The sequence below is a fragment of the Homo sapiens genome, chromosome 3 (assembly GCF_000001405.40).
Source record: "Homo sapiens chromosome 3, GRCh38.p14 Primary Assembly".
NCBI lineage: Eukaryota > Metazoa > Chordata > Mammalia > Primates > Hominidae > Homo > Homo sapiens.
Window position 1 is genome coordinate 10,364,029 of NC_000003.12, and position 19,945 is coordinate 10,383,973.

The following is a 19,945-nucleotide window of genomic DNA, read 5'->3' on the forward strand; positions in this document are numbered from 1 at the left end:
AATGGACTATTACTCAACCTTAAAAAGGAGGGAAATTCTGATACATGCTACCACATGAAGGAATCTTGAGGACATTATGCTAAGTGAAATAAACCAGTCACAAAAGGACAGAAACTGTATGACTCAACTTTTATGAGTTACTGGAGCAGTCAGATTTACAGACAGAAAGGAGAATGGTGGGTGCCAGACATGGGAGGAGAGGGGAATGGAAACTTACCATTTAATGGGTACAGAGTTTTAGTTTTGCAACCTGAAAAGAGTTCTGGAGATGAGTTGTACAACAATGTGAATGTACTTAATACTACTATATACTTGAAAATGGTCAAGTTTGTAAATTTTATGGTATATATATTTTATGCAAATTTTTAAAATAAAAAATAACTTAAAAAGCTCCTAAACAGGCCAGGTGTGGTGGCTCACATCTGTAATCCCAGCACTTTGGGAAGCTGAGGTGGGAGGATCACTTGAGGTTGGGAGTTTGAGACCAGTCTGGCCAAGATGTCAAAACCCCGTCTCTACTAAAAATACAAAAATTAGCCAGGAGTGGTGGCAGGCCCCTGTAATCCCAGTTACTCGAGAAGCTGAGGCAGGAGAATCACACAAACCCGGGAGGCGGAGGTTGCAGTGAGCCAAAATTGTGCCACTGCACTCCAGCCTGGGCGTCAGAGCAAGACTCCATCTTGGGGAAAAAAAATAATAATAATAAAAATAAAAAAATAAAAAAGCTCCCAAACGAACCCCATAGCATGGTAAACGGCAGTAACTGCAATGTGATGATTTTTCTAAGAGGCCATTAGAAAACAACTTTATGCTAATTGGCTGTCTCTGGTGACCTAGCCAGTATCCTTTAAGGACAGGCATCAGCAATGACGTCTCCCCTGATGCCTGGAGGCCCAACCTCAACAGCTGTAGCCATGCCCGTTTCCCCAAATGCCTTCTCTGCGCTCACCACTCTGCTGAGTTCTTCACGTGCATCACCTTATCATAGGCTCACAGCTGCCTACAAGGCAGGGGCTGCTCTTTCTCTCATTTTAGAGTCATGCACAACTGAGGCCGGGAGAGGCAAGGCTGCATGGCAAGGAAAGGTCTACTTGGCTAGGAGCCGAAGCAGGGGGTCTGGGCCCTGAGCCCGCAGAGCACCTCTCCCAGAAGCCTGCCTCTCTCCCTGGCAGAGACCACTGGCTCAGAGTCACCAGGGCAGGGCAGTTGGCCTCATTCATGCCCACATCCCCACCCCACCAATGCCATAGGGCCTCCAGTGAACATCTGTCCAGTGAATCAATGAATAATTTTGTGTTTGTGTGTGGGGTGCTGCCAACAGGACCCCAGGTGGCACGAAATTTTGGCAGAACTTGGTTCCCAGAATCATCCTCTAAAGGCCTGGCTTTTGAGGAGAGTGAGGTGGCTGTGCAGGGCCAGTGAGCCCTGGGGTCTTCCCCAGAGTGGGGGAGGGCAGGAGGTGGGTGCGGGTGTCCGGGACGACAGAAGCCCCCTGGAATGCAGAGGCGCTGCACTCCGGGAGAGTAGACCCCAGGAGCCTTCCCCAGCTCACCAGTGCAGAGTGTGTGTGTGTGTGTGTGATGCATGGGGTGTGTGTCTGTGGTGTGTGTATATGTGTAGTGTACTTGGTATGTGTGTGGTGTGTGTGTGTGTATATGATGTGTTTGGTCTGTGTGTCTGTGGTATGTTTGGTGTGTGTGTGGTGCATGGTGTGCGTTTGTGTGGCAGGTGTGTTGTGCGCTGTATGTGTATGGTACGTACTGTGTATAGTGTATGTGTTGTATGTGCTGTGTGTGTGTTGTATGTGCATGATGGGTGGTGTATGTGTGGTGTGTGTGTATGTGTCACTGTGTGCATATCAGGGTGAAAGGACTAACAGCTCTGTTCAAAACTGGAATTCCCCATCTGGAGTGATTTCCTTTAAACTCTTCTTCCAGAGACGGTGTTCGCCAAAAAAACCAAAAGCAAAACCCTTGTTGAATTCGACACCCAGGCCCCTGCTGTTTCACATACCCCAGGGCCCACCTCCGGACCTCAGTGCCCTGCTAAGTCCCTTCCAGTATCTTCCACACCTTCTGACCCTCTTGGCTTGGCAGGAGCCCAGTCTCAGGGTATGGCCTGGCTTAGGGGGACTTTGAGGCTCACTCGAATATTAGATCGAGCCCTGGGTTTGGTCTCAGGAGATCTGAATTCAAGGGCTGTCTCTGCTTCCCCCCTTCCCCTTTCTCCTCGGCCCTCCCTACTATCTGCTAGGTTTTAAGATTTATGGGAAATACAGCACAGCCAACCCTCCTCCCTTCTGGGGTTATTGGCCTCGTGGCCACCTCCATGTAGAATGGGGTGTACTGGGGACCTGGGGCTTCACCAGGCGAAGCTTGGCTTATCTATTCAGGAAAACCATCCTGCAGGGGGAATCCTTCCTTCAGAACCACTTCGGGGGCTCCAGGGAGATTTGTTTTTCTCTCAATAGCTTATGTTTCAGAAATACGCCATAAACTCCCAACAGTTCAGCTCCGCAAGTGCCCATCCTCAGTTTAATAGTTCAAATGTCAACTGCAGTATCAACCTCCTCTAAAAGAGGTCTAGTGAAGTAGAAAATGTAAGTCCGCTCGGGTGGTTCCAGTACACAGAACAGACATGGGCAGAACAGGGGGATGTTTTCCCAAGGAAGCGTGGTGCCTCCAGAGGTCGAGGAAAGAGCTATTTCCATCTGAAAGCTCAGCTGTGGCTCGGAGGAGCAGCAGGACAGCCAGAGCTGCTAGTGGAAGTCTTGACGTACAAAGCACCGCAGACCACAAAGGGAATCTGAGGGTGTGCCAGGGTTTCTGAGGCAGGGAAGCAATTTCTGACTAAAAGATGATTCACACAGCTTCCCTCAGAGGGCAAGTTTAGTTACTGATGATTAGAAATAAGAATGGAAAGAAAAAAGGCTCTGCCATTCTCAGAAAGGATGGGGCACAGGGTGGGGCTGGGCCCCTGAGAGGCCTCCCAGCCTGCAGCCTCAGCCCTCACACCACCCTCCTCCACCCGTGCCTGGGGTGGTTCTTCTGAGCGCTGGGAGGAGAAAGCCCATTAGGGGCTTATTTGCTACCACTGGCTCCCCCCATTTCTCCCAGCCTCACCTCTTGTCATTCTGGCCCTGCAGAAATGCCCAGGCCACAAATCACCATGTTTCCTAAGTGAGCTACACATCTTAAGATCTCTGGGCCTTTGCAGGGTTGTGCCCCCTGCCTGGAATACTCTTGCCCCCTGCCTGCTTGGTGAATTCCTCCAGAATTCTCTGGGCCCAGCTCTGCCACTTGGTGGTGAGCAGCGACCCTGGTAGGTTCCCTTCTGTTTCTGCAGCGCGGTTTTCCTAGCTGCGAGATGGGAATGGTCCTATTTGGCCAGCTGATCTGAAGGGGATGTTGAGGGTCAAGAAAGACAGTGGCTGGCATAGCAAACTACAGAGGGGAAAGCTCAGAAAGAGCAGCAGAGGGAAACAGAGTAATGACTGCCATGGATGAGCACCTGCCTGCTCTGTGTCAAGTACTGTGCAGGGTGCTGTACACACCTCAGTTCGTCTAAGCTTCACAACAGCCCTCGGACAAACAGCCTCATGGCAGAGGTGTGGCTCTGCCCTGAGTGGCAGGGACCTGGGCCTGGGCTTGGGATTGTACAGATCTGGGTTCCAATCCTGGCTTGGCCTCAGATCTGCTCGGGTACTCTCGGCATGTGGCTTAACTGCTCCAACTGCAGGGTCCTTATCTACGCATTGGGGTGTGGTGTCACCCACTCTGTGGGTTGTCATACAAAGCAAGGTAGGGAAAGCACTCAGCATTGAGCCTAGCTAAGTAAATGTTAGCAATAATGATATGCTCACTTTATAGACTGAAAAACAGAGGCTCAGAGAGGTTAAGTAACTGGCTCAGGATCACACAGGTGATGAGTGTTGGGGCTGGGATATGAACCTGGTCTGTCGGACTTTAGAGCCAAACCTCTTAACCATTGCTTCCTGAGCTAGGTATTGGAACACCTGGATTCTAACGTCACTAACCCATGGGGTGACTTGGGACAAATCCCTTCCCATTTCTCAGAGTAAACTGAGGGGGCTGAACTAGGTGGTCTCTACGGTTTGTGAGTCTTGTAGACCTTGCAATCTATCCTTGCAAATACTCTTTTTTTTTTTCAGTAAAAGACATCGGCTAATTGGGAGGTCTATGGATCAATGCTGCCTGGATGGCTGAGGGTAGTTGTGGAAGAGACCAGCTCAACAAGCTGGAGGTAGTGAGAGAGCACTGGTATGGGCCATGGGACTGGATCCAAGGCCAACTTCCTGCCTCTTGCTGCCATACAAGAACAAAAAATTAGAAGGTAGAGACATCAGTCCTGCCTTAAGACTCCTATAAATTCATAGTCACCCATCCACCCATTCACATATTCATCCATCCATTCGTCCATTCATCCATCCATCTATTCATCCACCATTCCATTCCATCAAGCAATCAACACATCTACCCATCCCATCCCATCCATCCACCCATCCACCTACCAGCCAATATATCCATGCATCCACTCATCCATCCGCCAATGAACACATCCATCCATCCATTTACCAACCATCACATCCACCCATCCATCCATCTATTCATCCATCCACCCATCCATCCACCTAACCGCCATCCATCTGTCCATCCACCCATCCACCCATCTATTCATCCACCCACTCATCCATACACCCATCCATGCATTCATCCATCAATCCATCCATCCACTCATTCATCCATCCACCCATCCATCTACCTACCCACCACTCATCCATCCATCCCCCCTTCTCCCTACCTATCCCTCATCTCATTGATTGCTCATCAACACATTTATCCATCAGTCCATTCACTTACATCACCCATCCACCCAGCACTTCCCAAAAGTCTATCCAAGGGGGATGAGAGAAGACTCAGCTGTCTCCTGCTCTTAAAAAGCCCACAGCCTGGCATCAGACAGCAAGAAGACACAGAGGAACTGGCCTCCTTGTGGAGGGGGAAATACAGCATATGGGAGCCCAGCCCTGCCCAGGGTCTTATTTTCCCAGTCTAGGCTCATTTCCCAATTAAAGCTGATGGGTAGTGAAGCTGGTGGACATTGCATGCCCTTCCTGCCCTGTCTCCTCTTGTATGGGTTCAGAATGTCCTGCAATCTAGATTTCCTGTCCTGGTTTGGAGGGTGGCCGGATGTCTGCCCTGAGCAGAGCAGCTTGGGCCTCTTCTCAGTCTTCATCTGAACCTAGAAAGGGGAGCCCCTGAGAGGCTTTTTGCCCCACATGGCTGGCAGGCCCTGGCTGTGAATCTCACCTTCTGGACCCCAGACCTTTCTTCCCAAGCAGACCGTAGGCTAGAGGTGCTGCAGGGTTGGTATCTATGACCAAAAACCTAGTCTGGACATCAGACTCAGCAGCTAGCTTTAGGGCATCCATGGGTCAGTTTTGCTGCTAATTGGCTGAATGGTTTTGGGCAATAGCCTTTCCCTCTCTAGCCCTGATGTCTCTGCTCTCTTTATTTGTTAACCTCTGCATTGCTACAAATGGAATCCTCTTTCGGTGGGTGATTTTATTGCTGAATAACAACAATACTAGTCATACTGAGTGCTGTGTGCCGAGCACTTTCCATTAACTAACTCACTTTATCCTCACAACAATCCAAGATTCTCCCCCTCCCCTAGGAAACTGAGGCACCAAGAGGTTAAATAATTTGTTTATATTCATACAGCTGGTGAGGGATTTGAACGAAGGCAGTCTGGCTCCAGAGTCCAAGTTTTAACCACTACCCAGTCACACAGAGGCTCTGCTGTCCTTCCCACATCGACGGCTGTCAGCTCCCAGCAAAGAGAATAATGTGGCCAGGGAACTTACAAGAAAGACCCAGAAAGACAGGCGCAGGTATCTATGATGCCAGGGTTCCAGGCACAGAGGGGACTCTGGTGTCTGAGAGGTAAGGGATCTGGCCTGGGTTACAAACCAAGGACCCCAGTTCCCAGGTCCCTGACCTCCTCAGATGGACCGACTGACCCCTGTCCTTTATGCCACCTGAAAAGACTCAATCCACCAACATCTGGAAATGACATTTCAGCTTTGCCTCCGGTGCTAAAAAGCACTGCTTAATTGAGACTCATCACTGTGGAGAGGTTTCCTCAGCCTTCCTGGCAGATCCCAAGAATTCTTTTTGACTATAATTGCATTACACACATCTCAATCCAAGCCCACCCCACAGGGCTGTGCCCACATGGCTGAAGCCCGTTCTGGGAATCGCCCTGTTCCCCTCTCTGCCAGGTCTGCAGGAGGAGATCATTATCAGCATCCCAGTTATTTTAGGAAGTCCTGGGGAGCAGAATAAAGCATCGCTGATCTCCCTTGATTCCCAAATTGGGTGGGGTGGGGGAAGAAGACAAAAACGTCGTCATGTTTGGCATCACCGCCAGGGTTCTCTATCACTGTCTGCATGGGTCCTCTGACCTACTTTCCCCGTTGTCAGTTCTGCCTCCCTTAGCCTGCTGCTCCAGGATGATGCGGGTGGCTGCTCAGCTGCTGTGGAGGGTGCAGGAGCCGCCTCCTCCTCCTTCCCCTACCAGCCCTTGGCTCTTTGCTGCTGACTCACGCTCTCTTCCCCATTTCGATAAAGCTGCTAGCAGCTCCTACAAACCCAGCCTGATCGAGAAGGTTGCAGCTGGCTCAGGGGCAGAAGGAGGAGGAGGTCAGGGCTCAGCACATTGGGAGGGTAAACAAAAAAGCTTAGCTGATCACCCAGATGCTCTCAAGGCAGAAACGTTCTACATCTGGGAGCTGATGGACATCTGGATGGATGAAGTTTGGGTTTCTCTTCATCTAGTGCTGAGGCAACCTGTGCTTCTAAACCAGATAGGGTTTACAGCATGGTGAGTCTAGACAGCTTAGCTGAGACAGTAGGTTGAGAGTTTTTCTTATCAAAATGAATAATATTACTACTATTAGCAACAACAACATCATCAGTGGTAGACTGTGAAAATGGCCACAATTATTCTCCTTTCTGAATCCATGTCCTTACAGCACCTCTCATCAAGAGGTGAAGTTTATTTTACCACTGTGTGAATCTGGGCTGGCCTCCTGACTTACACTGGCCAAGAGAATGCAGCAAAAAGTGATAACGTGGCGGTTCAGGCCTCAAGAGACTTGCACACTTCTGTCCTCTCTCAAAGGCCTGTTGTCGCCATGTGAACAAGCCCAGGCTAGCCTGCTGGAGGAGGTGAGACCACACAGGGCAGGGATGAGCCAGCCCAGCTGAGGCCATGCCAAGTCAGCCTACAGTTCTGCCAAGATCAGAGGAGATGTCCACATGAACCCCCACAGATGCAGGAGGAAGCCTAGCTGAGACCAGAAGAACCATCCAGCTGAACCCAGCTTGAATTGCTGACTCACAGGACTTTGAGTGAAATACACAGGTTTGTTTCAAGCCACTAAGTTTTGGAGTAGTTTGCTATGCAGCAAAAGCACACTAATGAATGTTTGTCTGTGTGTGGGCAGGGGGAGTGGGGGTTCAACGACAGGATTTAAAAAGCATAATTAACAATAAAGGTTTCTTTGTCACACAAACATTGTAGCAATATTAATAGTATATTAACTCAAACAGAAACATGTTGCTTACTATCTGACCATACCAAAATATATTAGCAGGATTTGAGACTATGAATCACATTGCTCAACCTGCCCAGTACCTCTGTACCATCCCATGGATGTTGCTCCAGGTGGTGGATGTGCCTGGTCCACACTTACCAGAATCTTGGTGGTGTAGGCGCTGTTGATGGCGATGGCATTGATCAGCAGCTCCATGGTCTTGGTGTTGATGGAGCTGGGGTCGGGGATCTCTTTATAGTGGACGTCGCCGACATAGGCCTGTACCACTGTCATGCGATTGGTGGTCAGCGTGCCTGTCTTGTCTGAGCAGATGGCTGTGGCATTGCCCATGGTCTCACAGGCATCCAGGTGGCGTACCAGGTTGTTGTCCTTCATCATTTTCTGGGAGAAGGGGCAGGTGAGAGGGCAACAGTGAGGAGAGGGGCTGGGGAGCATGGGGTGCCTGGAGGCACTGGGTAAACATGCAGTAAATAAGGCAGAGCCACCACAGCCTGCCCCTTTGCTTCCGGCACTTGTAAAGGATCTTGGTTGCTGCTGCCTCCTATACCTGGGCTTCTTTTGTCTGCGCGTGGCCCTTTCCTTTCTCTGTTAGTATCTGAACCATTTAAAGGACTCAGTTAATTGAATTTATTAATTTGGATTACAGAAGTAATCTACATTCTTTACGGGAAGAAGGGGGAAAGATAAATAAGGTTGGTTCCCTCTCTGAGTACTTTAAGTATTTTTCTCTTATAGACTAACATAAGTAACTATTCCTTATTTGGTCATGAATTTTCTCAAACCTATTATCTTTCACTGGCGCCTGGCTTTCATTCTCATTTTAATTTTACCAAAAGTAAATAAATTAGGATACAGGAAAATATCTGGAAAAATATCAAAGTATTAATGTCATTATTGCTAAGTGATAGAATTACAGATTTTTGTCTTTTCTATGACTAACATATATCACTTGCATAATAAAAACCACACATTTCTTTAAAAAAATACACAAAAGGGAAAAAGAAAACATATCAACTATTAGCTACCATCCAGAACTAGGTACATCTTGTATATCAACATCCTTTTTTTTTGAAATTTATAACAAAAATGGAATATTCCTATACACAATATTTTCTTCTATCTGCCTTCTTTTCTCTCTGGCCCAACTCCACACTCATACCTTCTTCTAGGCTCTCAAACAAGTAATGCAAATGAAGTAATTCTCAAGGAAATACTGTTCTTCATGCAGGCCCTCCTGACATAGTAGCTGAATCAGATGGAGTTCTAGGCTGTGCCTAGGAATTTGATTTCCTTTATTTTTGCTCCTCATTATAACTCTTTATAACCAGGGTAAAAAAGAATAATAATTTTAATAGAGCTTTATGTTACTAAAAATGAGTATTAGTAGGATTATATTCTCTGGCAGTTTCTCCTACTATAACTTGTGATAATAGTAATAATAAACGCACGTTGAATGATCAACAGCAACTTGAATTTGCAACATGTTACAGTTTGCAAAGCCTTGTTGTGAATTACTTCTTGTCCGATGTTTTAAGAATTCTGTGGCACAGGAAAGGATTCTGGTAATCCATTTTGGCAACTGAAGAAATCTAGGCAAAGTGACCTGACCAGGATCACACACCCGGAGGGGTTTAAAGCTGGGATTTGAACCTACCTCCGTTTAACCTCACAGCCTGGACCTTTCTATTGGGCCTCAGCCCACCTGTACTCTTTGAAGAGGGTTTGTCTGTTGGGCTCAAGAATCTTTAAGTCCTTACTATCCAATACGGTAGTCACATGTATTGTGACTACACCTATAGGGTACTGAGCACTTGAAATGTGGCTATTCTGAAGTGAAATGTGCTGTGAGTGCAAAATATACATCAGATTTAGAGGATATTTTGAAAAAATGTAAAAGTAGTAGTTCATTTATAATTTTTATAGTGATCACACATTGGATTGATAATAAGTTGGATAATAGTGTTGGATTTGACATACTGGGTTAAGTACATTATTAAAATTAACTTCACTGGTTTCTTTTTCCTTTTTTAAAATAATGTAGCTACTAGGAATTTTTTCTTCTTTTTTAAAAAATTATTTTATTTTGTAGAGATGGGGTCTCACTATTTGCCCAAGCTGATCTTGAACTTCCGGGCTCAAGCGATCCTCTTGCCTCGGCCTCTGAAAGTGCTGGGGATTACAGGCATGAGTCACCACGTCTGGCTGCTACTAGGAAACTTAAAATTGCACACGTGGCTCACATTCTGTCTCTTTTTGGGCAGTGCTGATCTAAGTGGTCAGTCATCTCTGTGCTCTTGATGGTGGCTCCCAGGTCCAGGCTCAGAGAGGGCACAGTCTGCCTCTCCTGTGTTGGGGTGCTCTCCTAAGTTTATCAAGTGACTGTAAAAGTACCTAACTTTAACACTACCTAAGATGAGCGAAGGTAGCGGGTGCCAGAGATACGAACTGCAGAAGGCGCAGAGGCCTAAAAGCATCTGTATATGATTCTCCCAAACCAGCTCTGTGCAACTTTCAAGGACATCCCCGGGCTCAGTGAAGTGGCTGTGGAGGCCCCCTACTCGTGGCTCTATAACAGTCACCCTCTGCTGGCCCTGGGTCCCAAAGTAGCCTCTTGTTGTGGCCTGTTTGGGCTTTGGTTTGTGGGGATGGAGTTTCCTCAAGAACCTTAAAACAGGAAGACGATAAGGGCCGTATTTGTTACACAGAACTGCCACTTTCTGGCGTCTGTCTAGAGATCTCTTTTCTGTATGAAATTACATCGGAGAGCCCAGCCCAAATTCCAGCTTGGAAACTGATGCTCACCATGCCCTCTGGAGGCTCTGCCAATTTCTCAGAGTGAATGCCTCGTTTATAAACATGGCCACGCCTCCACCCTTGCAGGGACATTCTGGCATGGGGCACTGGGAAACAGAAGCCCTACGCCCGGCCCTTCGAGGTGGAGAAAACATGGGGCAAAGGGAAGAAAATGAGACCCGGGTGTGAGAACCTGGGGGTGACCCAGTAGGGTCAGACTCGCAGTGACTGGGCACTGCAGACAGTCATGGCCTGGGTGCAGGTGGAGGTGCAGCTCTGCCATCAGGGTAGCGCTTAGAAAGGTCCCAGACCAAGCTTCCCCGGAAAACATTCATGACCCCAGCTCTTCATTTAACTGCTTTAAAATTTCTTATATTTTTAGCCTCTTTCCCAAGGGGAGGAGGCTTCTATGAAATCAGACTTCCTTTTTGTTTTTGGCTTACCCCTCACACTTCAGGGAGCCACCTCTGTGATGAGTTTTACAAGCGCTACAGTTGCCCGCGGGGCCTACGACTGAGACCGCCAGACTTCTACGTAAATTTGGTGGGGTAAGGATGAATTCTGGCTTGCACGGTGATGTCTTTATTATTTTTTTAAAATTTTTGAGTTGATTATCAATGTCTAAAAATCACGAGAGTCTACATTAAGTCCAGATTTCTGGCTTCTCTTGGAAAAAGGTGACAATGTGGCAATGCTGGGCCTGCACCCCTGCAAGGCGGCGTGTGGCTGGGCTGAATAACAGCTGCCTCTTCAGCCAGGGTATGGCTCTCTGGTTTGCTACAGGCCCCTGGACTCTATGAAAGCGTCAGAGTTTTGGGGTCCTGCATACATTCTTCTTCCAAGCTCCTAGGGGGTCTATGGGGCTTCTTCGTTCATCTCCCAACCCCAGCACCAGCCCCAGTGATTCCCCCAGGCCCTCAGCTGCAGCTGCATCAGCCGGCTGGTCCTGCTCTCCTCCCCTCTCACCTTCACCGAATAGGCCAACGAGATGGTGACGGCCAGAGGGAGCCCCTCGGGCACGGCGACCACCAGCACCGTCACGCCAATGATGAAGAACTTGACAAAGTACTGCACGTAGACGGGCGTGCACTCAGGCAGCCACGGCTTCTTGTTGACCACGAAGGTGTCCACAGTGAAGTAGAGCACCAGGATGATCACCGTGATGGCTGACATCACCAAGCCTGCAATGTGAGGGACACATGCTTGGGGGGTTCCAGGAAGTGGAGGCTGGGGGTGGTGTGGACCAAATCTTTGGCTGAAAGAGCTCCGGGTCAGGCTGACCCCAGCTCACCTCCCAGCTCTGCCACTCCTTGCTTTATGACCTGTGGCAAGTTCTTGAGACCTTGATCCTCACCGAGCCTCAGTCTCCTGCTCTGTACAATGGGGATGCATACTTCCTCCCCAAGATTTTGTAAGGCTCAAATGTGGTAATAACGCATGCAAAGTGCCCAGCATAGTGCTCGGCAATAGTATGTGCTCGACACATAGTAGGTGCTCAAGAGATGTGTGCCGAGTGACTGTGTGAATAAAGGAGGAATGGTTTGCATTGAGCTTTCACACAATAATGACGTGAAGTTGGTATCATTTATTTATTCATTTATTCGACAAATACCTTTTGAGCACCTATGACACGCCAGGCACATCTTAGTTCCTAGTTTGGGAACTAGGACACAGCAGTAAAGAAGACAAGAGTTCCTGCCCTTGAGGAGCAGACATTCTAGAGGAGGAGGAAGACAAGAAACAAAAAAACGAATACATGAACAAGACAGTTTCAGATATGGTGACACATTGTGAAGAAAAAGGCCAGGATGATGTGATAGAAAGTGACATGGGGGACAGGGGTAGGGAGTGGTTACTTTAGCTAGGGTGGCCAGGGAAGGCTTCTTGGAGGAGGTGGTATTTGAGCAGACACCAGTCGCATGGTGACCTAGGGAAGAACATTCCATGTAGAGGAAACAGCAGGTGGCTTTTTTTTGGATGAGGAAACTGAGGCTCAGATAGGGGAAGTGACTTGCTTGCAGCCACAGGCAAGAGAAATGCTGTAACGGTAGGAACGCAGCTGGGGACCCATCCTGATCCCCTGGGGCTTCCTCTTCAGTTTAGCATGCCCATCCCCCATCTGCTACAGGTGCTACTGCAGGTGCTGCGGAGACTGCTCACACCCGCAGACTCTGACAGAGGAAGAGCCTGCTCAGGTGACTGGGTCCCCTTGTTGGGAAGTGCCTGGGAATGCACTCCCATCTTAACCTGATGGCCAACATCCAGTGGCTGACGTGTTAGTCCCAAAGCCCAGCCATCTGCTTTGAGGTAGGACAGACCCTAGAGTTCTGGGCAGCCATGGACTTTATCCTGAAGACAGTGGGAGTCACGGAGGAGGTTTGAGCAGAGGAGGGCAGGATGGATTTGGGTTGCTCCAGAGCTCCCATGGGATCGGGAGAGGCTGGGAGTTCTCTGGAAATCTCAGCTGCCCCCGGCTTCTTCCCTAGCGTGGACCTGTGCCCCTTGCAGGTCTCACCTGAGAGCACCCTGTCAATAGATCCCCTGCCTACCCATCTCAGGGAATTCAGCCAAAGAGAGAGGCAGAGATGGGCTGTGAACCCAGGAGTGCTTGACTGTGAACTCCATTCTTGGCAGGGCCGAGGTGCAGGAGGGAGAGGAGTGAGGACTTTGAAGGCCATGGGGTTGTTCTCATCGCTTCGTTCCCGGCCCTGTCAGTGCCATGTTTCCATAGAGTCTTCTGCCTGTGGCGGTGGCGATGGCGGTATAGAGGATAGAGGAAATCCCTGGGCCCATAGCTCTCCACCCCCACCTCCAGCTGCGGAGCCTCAGAGCCGGCTCCATCCCTGTCTGACAGTCGGAGGGGCTGGAAGCCAAGCTCCCAGCTAGCCGGGAGCTGTCACCAGGCCCCCAAGTTTAAATTTAGACAGCCAAGCCTGTAATCTGCTTCCCTTCCCCATGCTGTGGTGTCTATAATTAGAGCTGGGGAGACAGCCACAAAGGATCGAGCAGCCAGGTGGGAAGGCCTTGGCATTTGCTACCTCCTTACCCGGGAGGGGAAGCCTAGGCCGTGCCAGAGGGTCGGGGGCTCACTTTGCAGCTGGGCCAGCGGGGCTGTCACCAGCCATCACCTGCAGTTACCACTTTAGTTGGGATGCCCAGTTTGTTGTGCGGGGGCTCAGACCATGGGTTTCTCCCTGGGCTCTTGGCAATGTCCTTCAACCTCTTCAGTTTTTCCTCTGCACTGTGGCCAGGGTGGTCATGATAAAGCCCAAACCCATTCTTGTCTTCCTCTGCTCAAGTCTCTTCCATGGCTCCCACTGTCCTCAGGATAAAGTCTGTGTTGCTTGGAACTTCAGGCCCTGCACCCTCTCCAGCTGCTGCACCTGCCAAGTGCTAATGCTTTGTATGCAGAGTCTCCTTTAACTCCCACAGCAGTCTGTGAAGTGGGGACAACTATTATCCTCATTTTACAGATGAGGATACAGAGGCTCAGAGCTAGAAGTTACTTTCCCAAGTTCTCACAGCCATTGCCGGACAAGAAGGCAGGCCGTCTGCTACCAGAGCCTTGGATTTGCTCGAGCTTCACTCTTCTGTATCACTGAGTGCTAATGGAGTGCCTTCTGTACACAGGACTCAGACTGGGTGCTGTGGTAGAGAAAGGTGGGCTTCAGGCACTCATTCAAGCCCCCCACTTTGCAGATGAGGTAACTGAGGCCGAGCATGGGGCAGGGCTCTGCCTGGGGTCCCCCTGTGAGCCCTGTCCCCTGCCTCCCACCTGCTGCACTCACCCGCCTTCCCGATCTGCACAGCCAGCTTGGTGAGCTTGCCCTGCAGCACGGACTTCTCCTTCTTGTGCATGCTGGCCTTCTTCCTGTCGTCAGCGTCGCCGCCCTCGGCACTCTTGAGGGGCTGCATCTCCATGGCGGCTGCCCCGTCCTGTTGTTTGGCTGCAGGGGGCAGATCACGCACGTGCATACACACAGACACATAGACACACATGCAGGTCAGCCCACAGGGTGGAGACGCTGGCACCCACCCCTGCCTGCCCAGGGTAGGTGCTGACTGCCTGGACTGAGCCCCGCATGGCTGGTGCAGAAGTCCTGTGATGGGGGCCTGCCTCTTCCAGCCGGAGCTATGGATCCCAGTGGTACTCGCTGCCTCAGACCTGGAATCTGGGACACAGCAGGGACTGATGCTGTTACCCTGGATCCCCCTCTCGGCCTGAACAAGCCTGTGAGTCCTACCCTAGGTGGTCCCTTGTCCTTTCCCACATTCAGACAAGACAGACAGGCTTGGGCTCTACCCAGCTGGTCCTTGGGACCTGTTGTGGGATATTAAGTAGCCACTCGACAGGAGGGACAAAAAAGGAGGCTTAGAACGTAAAAGAGGGCAGCCATGGGAGCCAAGTCACTATCCCAGTTGGCGTGGCCTCTTCATGCAGGATGGACTGGAGGGCCCGTGACCCTTTTGGACAGAGACTGAGCCAAACTCCCTACCCCTCAACCTCTAAGGATCTCAAAGTCTTCAGCTGAATGGGGCGCAGAGTTCAAAGGCTAGGGAGATGCTGGCCCATGGGTATCCCCCTCCTCACCGGTGGACACCTCTTTATTTGGCCTGGCACCATGCAAATCACAGCTACACCCCCAAGGTCGTCAGACACCTGTAGGAGTGGATGTGTCTGCCTCTGGCCCTTGCCAGTCTCTGTCTCTGGTGTGACTGTCAGAGCCGGTGGGGAGGGGCCTCAGGGACGACAAACGCCGGTTAAAACAAAAGGGTTACCTTTGCTCTGGCTGGCGTCCACATTGCCATCCTGCATTTTACCTACACGACAAAGAATTTTAACAGACAACAGAGAACAGACAACACATGGTCGGTCATCACGAAGACGCAACAGGCCACAGACATTAATGTCACAGATGAAGGGCGGGCCGTGCTGACTGCATCCCTCTGTGTGGGGATACGGGTTGGGGAGGGCCCTGAAGCAGGAGCAGGCCTGGCCGCACCTTAGCTGTGGGGCCTGCCAGCCGGGCAACTCTTGATTCTCCAGGGGACTCAGGAGGGAGGTTTCTGCTGGAATACTTTTGGCCTTGAGCGTGTTACAGATCAAAGGGAAGTATCAGAGGGTGCAGGGGATTAGAGTCTGCTGGAGGAGGCAGCAGAGAAGCACTCAGGCCCCCACACCAAGCTTTTTGTGACCGATTTGGTGTTTTCTGGGTTGAGAGAAGGCAAAGGGAAGCTTGTTCAGTTACGTCCTTTTCATTTTCCCACAAAAGAAAACATGCAGTAGAGAGAGGGGAGAGGGGGAGAGAGAGAGAAAGAGAGACAGAGAGAGAGGAGAGAGTGTTTCTAGAATGGAGAGGAGTTTGGACAAGGCACTGAGGTCAATGTGTTCCTTAGTTTTGGCCTTCAAGAGGGATGATCTTTCTCCTTCACACTCTGAAGAGTGTGAAGCCACCCAAGGATGACCCCTTGCCCAATGCCCCTGAGAGTGACCAGAACAAAGAGTGATCAGGGGTCCCCATGGTGGTATACGAGGGACCTCAAGTGTGGCCGGGTTCTTGATGAAGTGCTCTGGTCCCCAATGGGGGTGCTGACCCCTTGGTAGGGGTATGGCTCAGGCTACAGCAGCAGGCTAAGTAGTGTCCGTGGGCATCCCCTTCCATACCAGGGCCTGGTGCTGCATCTGGCTGCCCCCCACCGACTCATCAGAGCTGCCTGGGAGGCCCCCACTCCAGCCTTGGCCAGGAGCTTGTGGGCTGGGTGTGCAATGTGGGCAATGGAGGCCTCTGTCTCTTGCCTAGCACACCTGCCTTCGCCAGCACCCTCCCATCTACTGGGCCTGCACGCTCACCCAGAGCTCTGCCTGCTCTGCCAACAGGCCTCGCCCCCTTGGGAGGGGTCTGAGAAGGTTGGCCACCCTTGGATGATGGCTGCAATGGTGATTCTCACAGCTCACATTCCAGGACAGTCCACCACCATGTGCTGGGCACACACATAAGCTCTGAGATTCCATCTAATCCTCGCCACAGCCTCACCTATGAAGGGTGTGCTTGTATTATACCCATTTATGGATGAGAAACTGAGGCTCAGAGAGGGAGATGAGCTGCTTGGGTCTCAATGGGTAAATGGAGAGCTGGCCCCAAAGTGCGTGCCTACTTCCGTCCTGCCATTGCTTCTCCAGAAGCTGCCGTCAGGGAGACCATGGACACCCCTCAGCCCCTCTGAGCCCAGGGGAGGGAAGTTGAGGTGGCACTGCTGCGACAGGGTTCCTGAAGTCTTCATTTCACCACCAACTAGCTGCTGGCTTTCTATCTCCCAATCTCATCAAGCTTCCACTTTCATAAAACAGGATGAGACATTCACCTCCCAGAGTGTCCCAGTTACCTTCATCATAATCACTTGCACGGTTCAGCCTTTTGCAGTTTCAAAGGGCTTTTGCAAGTGTCATCTCTTGTCAGTCTTCCCAGTATCCCTGCAAGGTGGGGCAGGAGGGATTTTCATCACTCTCATTTTATAGATGGGGAAACTGAGGCCAAGGGAAGTTCAGAGGCAGCCTGAATTTAGGAGCATCCTCGGAATAGCCCCATGGCTGCAGGATTAGTTCATCACTGTCACTGTGCCCACTTTCTGGGTGACTCAGAGGGGAGAAGTGGCTTCCCCGAACCTCGCCCAGCACTGTCTGTTCAAGGGTAAGTGCAGAGCTGTCCCCATGGCCTCCCATGGCAAAGGATCAGTTGCCCATCCTGGGCTTTAAAGTGAAAGACCCCCTGTGTCTCTACTGTAAAATTCTTTCTACTGGATTAAAAAACACAAGAGAAAAAAGCTTTTTAGAGTAAGCAGGAATGAATAACAACAATTATTTTTATTTTCTAAAATAATTTTACTGACTGGGCTCAGGGGCACCAGGGGACTCCACTTCAATAGTTGGTTTTAGAAGGCTCAAAGGGGCCTTTATTTGCATTGCATATTATCAGATGCAATAGCCGGTGTGTGCACTCATTAAGCCCAGCTAGCACTTTCCTCTTTTATTTCCAGAGTGAACACGTGATCAGAAAAATAATCACCAATGCATATGCTGGAGGAAGGGAAGGATGTTCTGGGAGTGCTGAGGCACAGATGGCCTGGTTTCTCAGAAGCGAGGGACTTATTTGGGGCTCTCCTGGCCAAACTGGTGCTCGCCTGGCCCTGAACTATGGTGGAACAGCCAGCTTTGGCCCCATGTGGGATCTGGAGATGGGCTGTATTTCAGGAGAGCTAGGAATGGGGTCCAAGACTGAGCCCTCAGGTGGGGTCTCAGAGGCCCTTCTCTGTATCTGGAGTCAGATGCACCTTTTCCAAATGGGTCTATTCTCTCTGTGCATCACAAAGGGCATGGGTGTGAAGTGCATGGATTGGGAGGATTCCTGGTAAGCTGACCTGATACACAAGCTCTGGGGAGAGAGACCACTACCTGGGAGACTTGGGAAATACCACTTCTCTTCCCTGTGCCTCCATTTTCTCCTCTGTGAAATGGATATCAACTAAGGTGATGTTTATGAAAGGCACTGGAAAATCACTGTGTAAACGTTGGGAGTTAGTAGTAATGTGTTATTATTATTGTTGCCCAGGCTGGAGTGCAGTGGCGTGATCTTGGTTCACTGCAACGTTGAACTCCTGGGCTCAAGCAATCCTCCTACTTCAGCTTCCTGAGTTGCTGGGAATATAGATGTGTGCCACTATACCCAGCTAATTAAATTTTTTTTTTTTTTTTTTTGTAGAGATGTGGTCTCACTATGATGTCTAGGCTGGTCTCAAACTCTTGACCTCAAGTGATTCTCCTGCTTCGGCCTCCCAAAGTGTTGGGATTATAGGCATGAAGCACTGTACCCAGCCCATGATGTATAATTTTTTTTTTCTTTTTTGAGACAGAGTCTCACTCTGTCTCCTAGGCTGGAGTGCAGTGGCATGATCTCAGCTCACTGCAACCTCCACTTCCTGGGTTCAAGCAATTCTCCTGCCTCATCCTCCTAAGTAGCTGGGATTACAGGTGCCCACTACCATGACCGGCTAATTTTTTTTTTTTTTTGTATTTTTAGTAGAGACAGAGTTTCACCATGTTGCCCAGGCTGGTCTCCAACTCCTGACCTCAAGCAATCCACCTGCCTTGGCCTCCCAAAGTGCTGGGATTTCAGGCATGAGTCATTGCGCCCGGCCTCATGATGTATAATTAACTGTGATTATAACCATGATTACAGGTCATGTATTACATAGTGACACACTAGTAATGTAAAAGAAAAATAACTAAATAATAATGGCAATCATAATGCTTCCAAGATGAATGGACCACACCCATTTTTCAGTTGGGGGCTTGGGGGAGCAGGGTCAAAGGGAAAAATTATCACCCTAATTTTTTTTTTCCATATCCAAGTCATTGTGATCTGGCTCAGAGGAAGGAGGGGAAAGAACACTTAATTCTCTCTCAATCGGCAAGGTTCCACCTTGTGCCTCTCCACCTGTAATGTGCTCTCACCTGGAGTCTGGAAAGCCTGTTAAAATGCAGATTCTCCTTCAGTTGGTCTGGGGTGGGGTCTGAGATTCTGCATTTCTTTTTTTTTAATTTTTTAATTTTAATTTTTATTTTATTATTATTATACTTTAAGTTTTAGGGTACGTGTGCACCCTAAAACTTAAAGTATAATAATAATAAAATAAAAAACTGAGATTCTGCATTTCTAAGGAGCTCCCAGGTGATGTGCAGGCTTTGGGTCCTGTGATCACATTTTGAATAGCAATGGCTTAGAGCATTATTTCCCAGAGTATATTATGGGGCAGACCAATTCCACAGGATTCAGCCAGGAAAGGTCTTGCAGTCAAATCAGCCTAGGAAACTCTATGTGACTCTGTAACTCTCCGCTACACACCAGCATATTCAAGGCTCTGAGCAGTCCTGTAACCAGGACTAATTCTGTAACCAGGAAGAGATCAATTCAATCCAGTGGTTCTCAAACATCTTTGACCACAGAATCCTTTTCTTGGGGTAAAGCCCTCTTAACATCCTTGTGAAACTTACAAGACACACTCCACTGGGAAATCCTGGATCAGGAGGAGAAGCACACACTTTAGAGCCAGCCAGGTCTGGGTTCTGGGTTCAAATCCCAGCTCTGCTACTTTCTAGCTCTGTGACCTTAGGCTAGTGTCTTGGTCTCCTTGAGCCTCAGTCTCCTCATCTTTAAAGTGGGGACAATAAAACCTGTATCATGGGGGTGTCATGAGGATTAAATGAGATGGTGAATATGAAATGCTTTCAGCAGTGCCTGGTATACAGTAGGTGGTCAAGAAATGAACGTTTCCTACAGTTTCTCTTGGGATATTTGGGGTTTTCTGCTGCAGTCTGGAAGTAAAGCTGCCCTTTTTTCTGAGACTGGCCAGCCTGGATGGGGTCTGTATGTTCACAAAGCTCAGCAGGCTCACTGCCGGGGTGAAGTGGGTGCCCCCTCTAGGTTCCTTCTCTCTCAGCCATGGGTTTGCCCA

General features: G+C 49.6%; 1 protein-coding gene across 17 annotated transcripts in view; it reads right to left on the reverse strand.

Moving 5' to 3' along the window:
- The window catches only part of ATP2B2 (ATPase plasma membrane Ca2+ transporting 2), a 384,094-nt gene that overhangs the window by 40,006 nt on the left and 324,143 nt on the right, over positions 1 to 19,945 (reverse strand). For 12 of the 17 annotated variants that reach the window (XM_017006484.3, XM_006713175.5, XM_017006481.3 and 9 more), the window contains 4 exons: positions 15,215 to 15,256; positions 14,224 to 14,382; positions 11,402 to 11,616; positions 7,781 to 8,023 (listed from right to left, as the gene is read on the reverse strand). In XM_017006484.3, coding sequence (XP_016861973.1) covers positions 7,781 to 8,023; positions 11,402 to 11,616; positions 14,224 to 14,382; positions 15,215 to 15,256 — 659 coding nt within the window. The remainder of the gene's footprint in view (positions 1 to 7,780; positions 8,024 to 11,401; positions 11,617 to 14,223; positions 14,383 to 15,214; positions 15,257 to 19,945) is intronic. The other 5 variants (NM_001438036.1, NM_001353564.1, NM_001683.5 and 2 more) reach the window with 1 other exon arrangement.